At 36.2% G+C, this 14,483-nt stretch overlaps 1 protein-coding gene across 1 annotated transcript in view, besides 1 other annotated feature; it reads left to right on the top strand.

Moving 5' to 3' along the window:
- Nucleotides 1-14,483, top strand: part of ROCK1 (Rho associated coiled-coil containing protein kinase 1) — a 164,908-nt gene that overhangs the window by 73,774 nt on the left and 76,651 nt on the right. The window contains exons 10-11 of the mRNA NM_005406.3: nucleotides 9,105-9,264; nucleotides 14,360-14,420. Of these exons, the coding sequence (NP_005397.1) occupies nucleotides 9,105-9,264; nucleotides 14,360-14,420 (221 nt within the window). The remainder of the gene's footprint in view (nucleotides 1-9,104; nucleotides 9,265-14,359; nucleotides 14,421-14,483) is intronic.
- Nucleotides 3,884-4,071: a silencer, noted in NCBI's record as "fragment chr18:18613930-18614117 (GRCh37/hg19 assembly coordinates)". NCBI's record gives its function as "represses an EF-1alpha promoter that drives an FKBP-Casp9 reporter gene in an ReSE screen in K562 erythroleukemia cells {active_cell/tissue: K562}" and the evidence as "EXISTENCE:reporter gene assay evidence [ECO:0000049][PMID:32094911]".

Genomic DNA, 14,483 nt, shown 5'->3' with positions numbered 1-14,483 from the left:
TTTGTATTGCTTTAAATTCTTTTTCAAAGTTAAGCAATGCATAAATAATTATAGAATAACCACACAATAAATCAACCGCAAAAGTAACAAGGATATTTTTCCTTTTATGTATTGAAAAACCGATCACTTGAAAGAGGAGGTAATTTAGTCAACAACTATTTACTGAACACCTGTTGTATATTGATCACTGTTCAATTTCAGACACTGGGAAAACAGCAGTGATCAAACCACCAAAAGTTTTCTTTCTCCCTTCTGGAGCTCATAGTCTTATGGAATTAGGGAGTCCAGATCAGTGGCATTTTATTATATTGCTGTACCTCCTTCATAAAACTACTTAAGATCTGCATTATCTATGGTTTTATTCTAGCGTGGTTAGATTTAGCATACTTAAAAGAATTTTGGTAGTTTTTCCTAATTCTAAGAGGTCCTGTTTTGTGGTTATTGGAAAAAACAAAGAAAAATTGAAATCTGTAGAACTTATTGTTCTTTGCTTCCCTTCCCCTCTTCCTACCCCTTCTTTACTTCCCACCCCTAAAATACCAAGAATTCTTTTATTCTGAACTGACCTCTTTGACCTGCTAAATTTTTAAAACTTATGTAACAGTTATAATTCCTTTTAATTTTTTTGGGTTTCCATTTTCCGTGGCAAAATTGCTTTCTAATACAAATAATAGTTTTTTTTGGTATTTTTACCACTTAACATGTCTCCACATTGCAATGGCAATTAATCTTCACCTTGTGTTCCTTGGTAATGTGGGAGCAGGATACAAAATAGCTTGATTTTTGGCAGAATTTCCATGAGCTTCCTGATCTTGTTCACAAAGTATGAAGATTTTAACACTATTTTTCCACTCATTTGAGATAAAATTGAAGGAGTAACATGAGTAAGATCAAAGATAGGAGAAGGACAAAAGAAATGAAAAGACCTAAATAACTTACTACAGGTCATAACTGCAAGCAAACAACAATGTCAAAATTCAGATCTAAGTCTCTTAACTCCAAAGCCTTTGATCTTTGAAGTACCATGTACGATTTAAAGATCGTTACCTGTTCAGTGTTATATAGATCAAAAATGGAAGGAATTGACAATTGTTGGCAGTTAAATTTGGGGGAAAAAAAATAACATTTATTACATATTTAGCATACATTATTAATAATACTGTTATATTTAGTATTTAACATAGTATTAATAATTTCAAATGAAATAAATGGCAAAGGATTTTGCTAGTTACCACATATTTAACATATTAATATTAATAATGAATAGGGCCAGGTGGCTCTATTGTACAGTGTTCTACAGTATTATACAGTGGCTCATGCTTGTCATCTCAGCACTTTGGGAGGCCAAGGTGGGAGGACCTCTTGAGGCCAGGAAACCAACCTGGGTAATGTTGCGAGACCCTATCTCTATAAAAATAAAAATAAAAAATTAGCCAGGTGTGATGGCATGCACCTATGTTTCAACTACTTGGGAGGCTGAGGTAAGAGAATCACCTGAGCCCAGGAGTTCAAGGGTGCGGTTAGCTATGATAATGCTACTGCATTCCAGCCTGGGCAACAGAACAATAACTGTTTCTTTAGAAAAATTAATAATACTACATTAAATATGTGGTAACTTGCAAAACACTTTGCCATATATTATTATCTCATTTGAAATAAGATATTGGTGTTACTTAATCAACCTATAGTTTGTGGGCAACACACAAGATGCTAACAGTGGTAATACTTCTGCCGGCTCAAAACTCATTGTGTACACACATATATATTATTCTAGGTTCTGTGAGTTAATCAAGACTAGTAACCTTTCTGTTTGAATTTTACATTCTCACGGGAGAGATTATCAATGTGGGCTTTGTGAATAAAGAACTGAAGGCCTAGCAAGTTTCAGGGCTCTTTTACTTAGGAGTTTAGACGTTCTGAACATTATAATGGATTTTTAAAAAATAAGTTATCTCTTTGTATTGTGATAAAGTATGCATAAGATAAAATTCCCCATGTTGGGCATTTTTAACTGTACAATTCAGTGGCATTAAGTACATTCACATTGTCTTAAAACTATTACCTCTACTGTGTCCAGAACTTTTTCGTCATCCTAAACTAAACTCTTAAATAGTAACTCTCCATTTCCCTGTCCAGTAATCACTATTCTTTCTGTCTCTATGAATTAGACTACTACTCAGGGTGTTTCGTTTAAGTAGATTACTATAATATTTGTCTTTTTGTGGCTGGTTTATTTCACCTAGCACAATGTCTTCAAGGTTCATTCATGTCATAGCATGTATCATAATATTCCATTGTATGGATATACTATATTTTGTTTATCCATTTATCCGTTAATAGACACTTAAGATTGCTATCTCTTTTAGCTATTGTGAATAACAAACAGTAGAATACAAATATCTGCTTTCCATATTATATTACGGATATTTTATATCCATATTAATGTTATATATATGGATATTCTGTAATATCCCTGTTTTCTATTAATTTGAGTATATACCTAGAAGTGGAATGGCTAAGTCATATGATAATTAGTTAGTTTTGTAGAGACAGAGTCTTGCTGTGTTGACCAGGCTAGTCTCAAACTCCAGGGCTCAAGAGATCCTCCTGCCTCAGCCTCCCAAAGTGCAGGGATTGTAGGCATGAGCCACCATGCTCAGCCATATGTTTAATGTTTTGAGGAAATGCCATAACATTCACAACATTTGCACCATTTCACATTCCCAGCAGCAGTGCACCAAAGTGCTGGGATTGCAGACGTGAGCCACCACGCTCAGCCATATGTTTAATTTTTTTGAGGAAACGCCATAATAGTATCCACAATGTTTGCACCGTTTCACATTCCCAACGGCAGTGCACATGGGTCTGGTTTCTCCACATCTCCAGCATTTGTTCTTTTCTGTTTTGTTTGTTTGTTTTTTGTGTTTAAATAGTAGTCATCCTAATGGATGTGAAGTGGTATCTCATTGTGGCTTTGATTAGCATTTCTCTAATGACCAGGAATGGTAAACATCTTGTCATGTTGCTTATTGGCCATTCGTATATCTTCTCTTGAGAGATTTCTATTCAAGTTCTTTGCCCATTTTAAAATTTGGTGGTTTGGTTTTTTTGTTGTTGTTGAGTTATAGGAGTTCTTTAAAAATTTTGGATATTAATCTCTTATCAGATACATGGTTTGCAGATATTTTCTATTCTCTGCACTCTGTTATTAGTGCTTTCAAGCACAAAATTTTTAATTTTGATGAGATCTGGTTTATTTCTTCTTTTGTTGCTTGTATCTTTGGCTTCGTATTTAAGAAATCATTGCCAAATCCAATGTCATGAAATGTCTTACCTATGTTTTCTTTGAATTTTATAGTTTCAGCTAGTATGTTTAGGTCTTTGACCCATTGTGAATTAATTTTTATATAGTGTATAGTAAGGGTCCAATTTAACATTTTTGTATGTGGATATCCAGTTTTCCTAACACTATGTGTTGAAAGGACTGTCCTTTCCCTGCATTGAAAGTTGTTGGCACCTTGTATCAATCATTAAACCATATACATGAGGGTTTATTTGTGGGGTTTTTGTTGTATTCCATTGATCTGTATAAGTTTGTTTTTATGTTGGTACCACACTGTATGATTATGGTAGCTCTGTAGTAAGTTTTGAAATCAGGAAATGTGAGTCTTTCAACTTCGTTCTTTTTCAAAATTGTTTTGACTATTTGGGATCTCATGAGATTTCATATGAATTTTATAATGGGTTTTTACGTCTTTGCCAAAAAGGACATAGGGATTTTGATGGAGATTGCATTGAATCTTTAAATTACTTTGGGTAGTATTATCATCTTAACAATGTTATCTTTTCCAGTCCATGAACACAGGATGTGTCCCCATTTATTTAAGCCTTCTTTAATTTCAGCAACGTTTTTAAGTTTTTGGTGCATAAGCCTTACACCTCCTTGGTTAAATTTGTTCCTAGGTATTTCTTTTTGACTTTTTTTTTCATTTTTTTTTTTTTTTTTGAGATGGAGTCTCGCTCTGTCGCCCAGGCTGGAGTACAGTGGCTCGATCTCGGCTCACGGCAAGCTCCGCCTCCAGGGTTCATGCCATTCTCCTGCCTCAGCCTCCCGAGTAGCTGGGACTACAGGCACCCGCCAGCACACCCGGCTAATTTTTTTTTTTTTTTTTTTTTTTTTTTTTTAGTAGAAACGGGGTTTCACTGAGTTAGCCAGGATGGTCTCGATTTCCTGACCTCGTGATCTGCCCACCTCCGCCTCCCAAAGTGCTGGGATTACAGGCGTGAGCCACCGCGCCTGGCCTTTGACATTATTTTAAATGGAATTGTTCCCTTAATTTTCTTTTCATATTGTTTATTGCTAGTATATAGAAGTAGAACTTTTATTTCTGATCTTGTAACCTGCAATTTTGTTGAATTTGTCTATTACCTCTAATATATTCTTTTGTAGCTCCTTTAGGGTTTTCTATGATAGGATCATGTCACCTGCAAATAGAGATAGTTTTACTTCTTCTTTTCCAATTTATATGCCTTTTATTTATCATTCTTGCCTAATTACTCAGACTAGAGCTTCCAGTAAAGTGTTGAATAGCAGTGGTAGAAGTGGGCACCTTGTCTGTTCCTGGTCATAGGGGGAAGCTTTTAGTCTTTCACCGCTGAATATAATGTTAGCTGTGGGATTTTCATTAATGTCCTTTATCATATTGAGGAAGTTCCTCTCTAGTCCTTGTTGGCCAGGTGTTTTCAATCATGAAGGGGTGTTGTGTTTGTCAAATGCTTTTTGTATGACAACTGAAATGATCATATGGGTTTTTTTTCTTCATTTTATTTTATTTTTTTAATAGAGATAAGGTCTTGCTCTGTTGCCCAGGCTGGAATGCAGTGCCATGATCTTAGCTCACTGTATTTTTGAACTCTCAGACCCAAGGGATCCTCCTGCCTCAGCCTCCTGAGTAGCTAGGACCACGGTCATGTGTCACCACACCTGGCTAATTTTCTTTTAATTTTCTGTAGAGCTGGGGTCTTGCTATGTTGCCCAGACTGGTTTCAAACTCCTGGTCTTAAGCCACCCTCCCTTGGCCTTCCAAAGTGCTAGGGTTACAGGTGTGAGCCACTATGGCCCTATTTTGATTCTTTATTTCTTTTAAAATAGATTTTGTCAGCCTGTGTTTTCTAGGAATGTCTCTATTTCATCTAAGTTATCTAATTTGTCACTGTAGGCCGGGTGTGGTGGCTCACCCCTGTAATCCCAACACTTTGGGAGGCCAAGGCAGGTGGATCACTTGAGGCCAGGAGTTCGAGATCAGCCTGGTCAACATGGCAAAACCTCATCTCTACAAAAAAAAAAAAAAAAATAGCCAGGCATGGTGGTGCACTCCTATAGTCCCAGCTACATCAGAGGCTGAGGCAGAGAATCACTTGAACCCGGGAGGCACAGGTTATAGTGAGCTGAGATTGCACCACTACACTGGAGTGTAGTGCAATGCACTCCTGGGTGTTTTTGAGACTCTGTCTCAAAAAAAAAAAAAAAAAACTTTCCTATTTGTTTTCTATGTCATATATTTCCTTTTTATTCCTCAGCTAATACATTATTGCTTTCTTTTGTGTTTAGTTTTTTCCCCTAGTATGCTATTTTGATTCCTTCTTCTTTTCCTTTTCTGTATATTTTTTAGTCATTTTCTTATTAGTTAACGTGGAATTACACTTAACATTCTAAATTGAAAACAATCTAGGTTGAATTGATACCAGTTTACTTTGAGTAGCTTAAAAACCTGCTTCTGTTTACATTTATCTAAATAGTTACCTTTACTGATACTCCTTTTTCTTCTTCATATGGCTTTGAGTTAAGACAGTTTGATTATGGCATGTGATTATGATGTGTCTTCATGTGGAGCTTTTGGAGTTTTTCATAGTTGGCATTCAGCTTCTTGGATGTGTAGATTTATATCTTTTACCAGATTTGGAAAGGTTTGGCCATTATTTCTTCAAATAGTCTTTCTGCCCCTTTCTCTCCTTCTGGAACTCCCATAATGTGTATGTTGGTCTGGTTGATGCCACAGTTTCCTTAGTCTCTGTTCACTTTTTCATCCTTTTTCTTTCTGTTCCTCACACTTGATAATTTCATTTGTCCTATCTTCAAGTTCACTGGTTTTTTTTCCTCTGCCTGTTCAGATCTGCTGTTGAAGCCTTCTAGTGAAATTTTAACTTCAGCTATTGTACTTTTCAGTGCTAGAATTTCTATTTGGTTCTATTTTCGATCTCTTTCATGATATTTTTTCTTTGTTAAGTCATCATCTTCCTGGTACTTCATCCATAGTGTTCATTTGCTTTTTGAACACATTTAAGAGAGTTTAAGATTTTGTTGAGTAAATCTAATATCTTGGTTTCCTCAGAGGTGGTTTCTATATTATTTTCTTTTTTTTTTTTTTTTTTTTTGAGATGGAGTCTCGCTCTGTTGCCCAGGCTGGAGTGCAGTGGCACGATCTTAGCTCACTGCAAGCTCCGCCTCCTGGGTTCACGCCATTCTCCTGCCTCAGCCTCCCAAGTAGCTGGGACTACAGGTGCCCGCCACCACACCTGGCTTATTTTTTGTATTTTTTAGTAGAGACGGGGTTTCACCATGTTAGCCAGGATGGTCTCGATCTCCTGACCTTGTGATCCACCTGCCTCAGCCTCCCAAAGTGCTGGGATTACAGGCGTGAGCCACCACGCCTGGTGGTTTCTAACATTTTTCTATATTCCCTGTGAATGGCCCATATTTTCTTGCTTCTTTACATGCTTTGTAATTTTTTGTTGTAAACTGGACATTGTTTTAAAGCAGCTGTATCCTTCTAAGAGGGACATTTTGGATATTACAGTGTTGTAACTCTGGAAATCAGATTCTTCCTCTTTCCCCCAGGGCTTGCGGTTGTTGCTTGTTGTGGGCTGCAGTCATTCATTCATTTAGTGACTTTTCCAAACTAATTTTGCAAAATCTGTATTCCTTGTCATGTGTATTCACTGAAATCTCCATTTCATTATCTCAGCCAGTGACAGAGATTTCCTTAAATGCCAAATTTTTATAGCCTCTTTCTTCATTAAACACTCCTTGCTTGTTATTAGTTTTTTATTAGATTCCAGAGTTCTCAGAAAGTTGCTCTGGTCGTTTTTGCCAACTCAATGGTTGCTTCAGTGGAGGTATGATTTCTTTGAGTTCCCTACTCTGCCATTTTTGACAACATCTGCTGGACTCTTTTTTATGGAACATGATTTCTAAATTAACAGTTATTTAATGAAAACAAATTTTTAAACAAATATATACTGATGTTTATTCCATAGTTATCTTTATTCTTATTAGTTCTGAAGTGATTAAATGGCATTATATAAAGCCTAAGCATCTTAATTTAGAAGCAGAAATAATTATTTTTATAACTCTTCCAATATTTTCCCCACTTGTATCTCAGAATTTAAACAGGTGAGAATTTGTCATTTTAGAACTACTGTGAAATAGTGTCATTTATAAAAAGAGTAGGTCCATCAGAAACAGCAAGAGAAAATGCAGCACACTTACTCTGTTCTCTCTTTCTGATATAATTTTAAAGCAGGTTTTCTGAGCTTTAGCAGTTGACAGATCATTCTTTTTGTGGGGATTATCCTAAACTTAAGGATGTTTAGTGGCATCCTATGACTGTACTCATTAGGTGCTAGTAACACCTTTTTTCCCATTAATGACAACCAGAATATGTACCCAGACATTGCTGAACACCTTCCAGCAGGCAAAAGTGTCTCTGATTGAGATCACTCTTTTAACATAAAATGTATGCCAAGACCATAATTAACTTCTGTATTTCCCAAGGGCGGCAACTGTTTAGTGTTTTCACCTCATTTTACAAATATTAGAAAGCTGGCCATGTCTAATCAGACAGTTCTGTTGGCCATTAAGGAAAGTGGAATGGTGGAAAAGCCCTAATATCCCTCTTGTGTTACTGTTAGTACTACAGCTTCATTTGGCTAAATGTGTTGTTTCGTTCCCTAAATATTAATTTACTGTGTCTCAGATGGCACAAGAATAGGTATTTCTTGCCTGAAATACCCAGGTGATTGAAAAGAAAATTGATTCCTTTTCCCTAAAAGAACATGAGGTTATTGTACCTAAAATAATTTTTTAGTATTTTGATGATCATAATTCAGGGATGTTTTATTATACTACAGTATCTTTAAGCTAAAAAATAAATTTTCTTAAAATTTTATTTTCTTAGAATTTATTTTTAGATGTACCCCTTGTAACATTCAAGCCCCAAAAATAGATGTTAGTAGTATTAGTTTTATATGGAATTTTCTCCTATATTATGAATATTTAAACGTTGTCACATACGGTTTTATATTATTAAGTATCTGGAAGACTTGGTCCACATCAAATTTATAATTCTTGAAGATGTCATATCCATTTTTTATATTACTGCCCTTTTTTATTAACAATGATATCATAAATACCTCACTGCATTAGTCTTAATCACTTGATTCTAGAGGTAGCTAGTCTGAAAATACAATTCCAAATCCATTGCTCCTGTGGCTTAATCTTATGGAGATATTGGGGTGGGAGAAAGGAGTATTGATCATCTGGATTCTGAGTGAGTAAAAATATTTCAGTACCAAATTATGATGTCCAGGAAGCTAAGAAGTAACCTTAATTTCTGGTTTACTATACAGCAGATTAACCAAAAAATACTATATTTAAAGCTAAACAATTTTTTCGAGTACAGTTTGTTATGCTTTAGTTTCTAAAAAGTCTTTTCTGTAGTCCCGAATGCTTTTGTGTATTTTATACCTTGGTACATTCTAAAACAAACCTTAGTAATACTTGATTTGTAATAGTCAAGTTAAACCCAAGGTATAGATAATTATAGGTGACTTTGAAGATAATTGTTTCATAGAATTACATAATGATCAATTATCAGTTGATTTTTAGTCCTGGTAAAGCTTGATGTAATAGGATTCAAGCCAGGTGGAATTTGTGGTTTGCAAGGTTTTATAAGAGAGAAACCATCAGTAGTTGGTATGGAATGTGCTTCACTTTACTTGTATTTTAAGTTTGAAGTGAACAACTAATTTTGTTTTGTCTTTAGCTGTAGCACCAGTTGTACCCGATTTAAGTAGTGACATTGATACTAGTAATTTTGATGACTTGGAAGAAGATAAAGGAGAGGAAGAAACATTCCCTATTCCTAAAGCTTTCGTTGGCAATCAACTACCTTTTGTAGGATTTACATATTATAGCAATCGTAGGTAAGTATGCTAAACAGTGATTATAGGAGTAAGTGCTGATTTTGTTCTTAGAAATATCTAAAAATCATTTTTAAAGTAGATTTAATGCTATATAAAGATACACCTTATTATGCAATTTTTCATTGATGCATGATATTTCCAGTATTTCATATTTAATTTCTCTTGGACTCATCCATGTTTAGGACATTGTTTTTCAAAATTTTTTTGCTAAATGATATACTATATATCCTCAAGTTACAACAATTAATAGGTCAAAAAATGCCATAAATACTGATATTTTGATCTGTAGACTTATGGTTTATAATACATTTTGAAACAACATGTAGACTTTTTTTGTTTTGTTTTGTTTTGTTTTTTTCCACGATGGAGTCTTGCTCTGTCACCCAGGCTGGAGTGCAGTGGCACAATCTTTGCTCACTGCAACCTCCACCTCCTGGGTTCAAGCAGTTCTCCTGCCTCAGCCTCCCGAGTAGCTGGGATTACAGGTACCTGCCACCACACCCAGCTAATTTTTGTATTTTTAGTAGAGATGTGGTTTCACCATGTTGGCCAGGCTGGTCTTGAACTCCTGACCTCATGATCTGCCTGCCTCGGCCTCCCAAAGTGCTGGGATTACAGGCGTGACCCACCGTGCCTGGCCAGCATGTAGACTTTTCTAGCATTATCATCACCATATTGATGCTGTATCAATTTTTAGCTCTTCAAAAATTAAGTGGGCCGGGCGCGGTGGCTCACGCCTGTAATCCCAGCACTTTGGGAGGCCGAGGCGGGCGGATCACGAGGTCAGGAGATCGAGACCATCCTGGCTAACACGGTGAAACCCCATCTCTACTAAAAATACAAAAAATTAGCCGGGCGTGGTAGCGGGCGCCTGTAGTCCCAGCTACTCGGGAGGCTGAGGCAGGAGAATGGCGTGAACCCGGGAGGCGGAGCTTGCAGTGAGCCGAGATCGCGCCACTGCACTCCAGCCTGGGCGACAGAGCGAGACTCCGTCTCAAAAAAAAAAAAAAAAAAAAAAAAAAAAATTAAGTGATTCCTCCCCAAATTTTACCATGTGTTATAAAATGTAGTATTACCTCCACTGTGACCTTGGACAAATAACTTTGGCCTTTTATGCCTCCATTTCCTCAAAAATAGGGATGATGATAATAACAATAATACTGCTTGCCTACTTACCTCATAGGATTGTTATAAGGTTTAAGTAAATTAAAACACAGTACAGCACTTAGAAGAGGGCTTTGCATGGTGTAAGCACTCAGTGTTAACTATTATTACCATTAGTATGAGTTCATGTTAGCTTTACTCTAATGTACTTGAGATTTAAGTTAAACATTTAACATTATTTTAGTGTGCTGAGCATTCATTCATTCCACAGATATCTTTGATAACTTATTATTTGTCAGGTATATACTGAGCACCAAATTGCATGGAGAAGGATGAATAAGATACAGTGCCTTCTCTTGAGATGCTCACATCTTGGTGAGAAATGCATAAATTGTGCAATGTAGGTTAGTAAGAACTACATAGTAGAAATCTCGGCCAGGCACGGTGGCTCACGCCTGTAATCGCAGCAGTTTGGGAAGCCAAGGTGGGCAGGTCACTTGAGGTCAAGAGTTCGTGACTAGCCTGGCCAATGTGGTGAAACCCCGTCTCTACTAAAAATACAAAAATTAGCCAGGTGTCGTGGCGTATGCCTGTAATCCCAGCTACTTGGGAGACTGAGGCAGGAGAATCGCTTCAACCTGGGGGGCGGAGGTTACAGTGAGCCTAGATCACGCCACTGCACTCCAGCCTGGGCAATGGAGCGAGACTCTGTCTCAAAAAAAAAAAAAAAAAGAAAGAAAAAGAAATCTAAACAAAGTGCTATACCAGTATAATGCATTGAACTATATGATAACACTTACTGGGTGGGTTAAATCTACTTTTAATTACCTCAAAAATATGTACTTCTAATCAAATTATACTCCTTTGGAATGGTATCAGATAACTGATTGGCTTGGAGTAAATTATTACATTTGAGGTCATTATAACTAATCTTATTTTAAAGTGAAGGGTCTTGTCATTTTAGTGTAAGAGCCATTCAAGTTAATCTTAGAAAACAAAAAGACAATTTAGTCCGGCTTTTTGAAACTTCTTCAGTAATCCACTGTAAGATAGTACTTAATACTTTTTGTTGCAACATCAATGAGATAGCTGGCACTTATCTTTTTTTCCTCCCTAACACTCTGTGAGTATAATATTATAACTGTATTCAATTAACATACATATACAGAAGAGCTTCAGGGTGGTTTTTGCTGAAGCATTCTTTTTTTTTTTTTTTTTTTTTTTTTCGAGACAGAGTTTTGCTCTTGTTGCCCAGGCTGGAGTGCAATGGCACGATCTCGGCTCACTGCAACCTCCGCTTCCTGGGTTCAAGCGATTCTCCTGCCTCAGCCTCCCGAGTAGCTGGGATTACAGGCATGTGCCACCATGCCCGGCTAATTTTGTATTTTTAGTAGAGACAGGGTTTCTCCATGTTGGTCAGGCTGGTCTCGAACTCCCGACCTCAGGTGATCCGCCCACCTTGGCCTCCCAAAGTGCTGGGATTACAGGTGTCACCCACTGTGCCCAGCCTGCTGAAGTGTTAACTTTTTGTATTTTTATCAATTATTCTTTGACTTGGTTTCTGAAACACTCAAGTTGTTGATATAAACAACCGCCAATGTTTTTGTATTTTCTGTAGTAGAGTCCAGCAGTTAATAACTTTATTTAGGTTTCTCTGTATAATGGTAACCTTCAGTTAAATAAACATTTATTATACTATTTGTCCTACATTATCATGCACTTGATTATGTTCTCTAGCTTTTCTTCGTATTCATGTTTTATGGCCCAAACTAATTTTTAAGTTTCTTAAAAGTAGAAATTATACTGTGTTCTTAACTGTCACAGCCTATTGACAAATAAATATAGTATTTTTTAAGTAATCACTTACTACCTGAACAGGCAAAGGTACGGTTGCTGTTCATAAAGAAAGAACCAACAAAATATATATATATTTTTGAAACAAGAGTCTCACTCTGTCGCTGAGGCTGGAGTGCGGTGGTGTGATCTTGGCTCACTGCAATCTCTGCCTCCTGGGTTCAAGTGATTCTTGTGCCTCAGCCTCTGAGTAGCTGGGATTACAGGTGCGTACCACCATGCCTGGCTAATCTTTGTATTTTTATTAGAGATGGGGTTTTGCCATGTTGGCCAGGCTGTTGGCCAGGCTGGTCTCAAACCCCTGGCCTCAAGTGATCCACCCACCTTGGCCTCCCAAAGTAATCCCAGCGGATTACAGGTGTGAGCCACTGCACCTGGCCCTGGCAAAATATTGATTAGCTTTATTGTAATATGTAAGCATAATTTTGAATATACAGATATGAAATAGAAAACCTCTGAAATTCTTATCCCTGAAATCCAGATATACTTTTAATACCAAGGGCAGAAATCATTGTTGCTTAATTATAGCTGAATTAAACATGATTTTTAAAATAGCCTTAAGCTATATTCCTAATATAGTAACTCCCGTTTTGTAAAAAGTTACCTAAATGACCAGATTCTATGTAAAAGCACCAATATAATATGCAAATGTACCTTGATAGAGAAAAGACAGAAGGTGGAAGAATTAATGGATGTATACAAGTGATGTCCTTACATTTCCTTTGCTGCATTCAAGCTTATATTACTAATTTTGCAGAAGACTAAAATGTCAGTCTCAGTCACATAGCATGTTAAGTTTAGAAAATATCTTAGAGATGAAACAGTCTCATCTAATTTAGATGCCACTGGCATTGCTATATGCCTTATTTATATTACATAAGCAGAATCTCACATTGAATTTCTGAGATGCTTAGTAGTCAATGGAATTAAATTGCACCACACCTAGAATTTGTCATTTGTTATATGGGACTTTTCCTCTATAAAGCTGCTACACAGCCCCTATTATTGTCTTAAAGTTATTTGAATCTCCATTTGATCTGAATAATTTTTCAAGGAAAACCTAGGAAGTGGCATATTTCTAGCTGTTTCTTTTATAGTACCATTGTACTGTGTATGTTTATTGATACTTAATGGATACTTGATTATCTTCTGTTATTCACTAATTTTTAAAATTTACTTAAACTGTTCTTTTGGAACATTATTAATATCTGGTGTGTTAACACATGCCTCCAATAGCTATGAAGTATACTGTAACTATTTGATCTCCTTTTGCAATAGCTCTACTGGTTAATCAGGGTGCTGACTGTAGTGGTGGTGATGGTAGAAGTAGTGATTATGGTAGTCGTAGCATGGTGGCAGTAGGAGCAACACTGGCAGTACTAGTACCTTACCTTTATATAATATTTGGTAGCTTAAAAAATTGTTTACATATATGATCTATTTAGATTGTTTGAGAATCTTGTGAGACATCTAAAAAAGACCTCTAAATTAGTTCACTAATAGCTTTATTTATATACAATTCTAACTTTACACTGAATTTAAAGAACTCTGCAAGGCTGGGAGTCCCAAAAGATTAGCAGCATCACCTAAACTTTGGTTCTGTTATTTCACCCACATAGGCAAAAACTTTTTTGACCCGAAGAGGCAATATTATGCTTTGCTGAAGGATAGTTGGGTGCAGGAGAGGTGGTTATGCATATGTCTGCAGAAGTCAGCAGTTTCTTACCCCCAATTCTTATATACAAAAAGCTCTGAAAACTGAATGTTTTTAAGTTATTTGTTTGGTGGAAAAACCTGTCATAACCTGCTCTCATGACCAGAAAGCCTAATCTGAACTAACTTGAGACTATGGTTTTTATTTATCCTACTTGGTATGAATATTCTTATGTTTTGCTGCAGGAATATTAAGTCATATGTTTACAGGCTGCTACTATTTTTAGACCTAACTGGGTGTTTTATTTAATATATGTATCATTTCTGAATTATGTTTATAAAAATTATGAACCTATACTTAATTTTTAAAAACAAAGTTACTATAACTGAACATAAAATAGGCGTGTAGTATTTATTATTGGTTGTCATGGGATATTACAGAGTTTTTTGTTTTCTTTTCTTTTTAAACTTTTCTTTCCCTCAGATACTTATCTTCAGCAAATCCTAATGATAACAGAACTAGCTCCAATGCAGATAAAAGCTTGGTAGGTATTTTCTTAGTATTAAGAAAATTGTTTTTAAAATTGTTTTGTGGATAATATATTTGT

Source organism: Homo sapiens, chromosome 18 (assembly GCF_000001405.40).
Source record: "Homo sapiens chromosome 18, GRCh38.p14 Primary Assembly".
Taxonomy (NCBI): Eukaryota; Metazoa; Chordata; class Mammalia; order Primates; family Hominidae; genus Homo; species Homo sapiens.
Note: the sequence above shows the minus strand (reverse complement) of the source record. Positions and strands in the feature narration are given on the sequence as shown.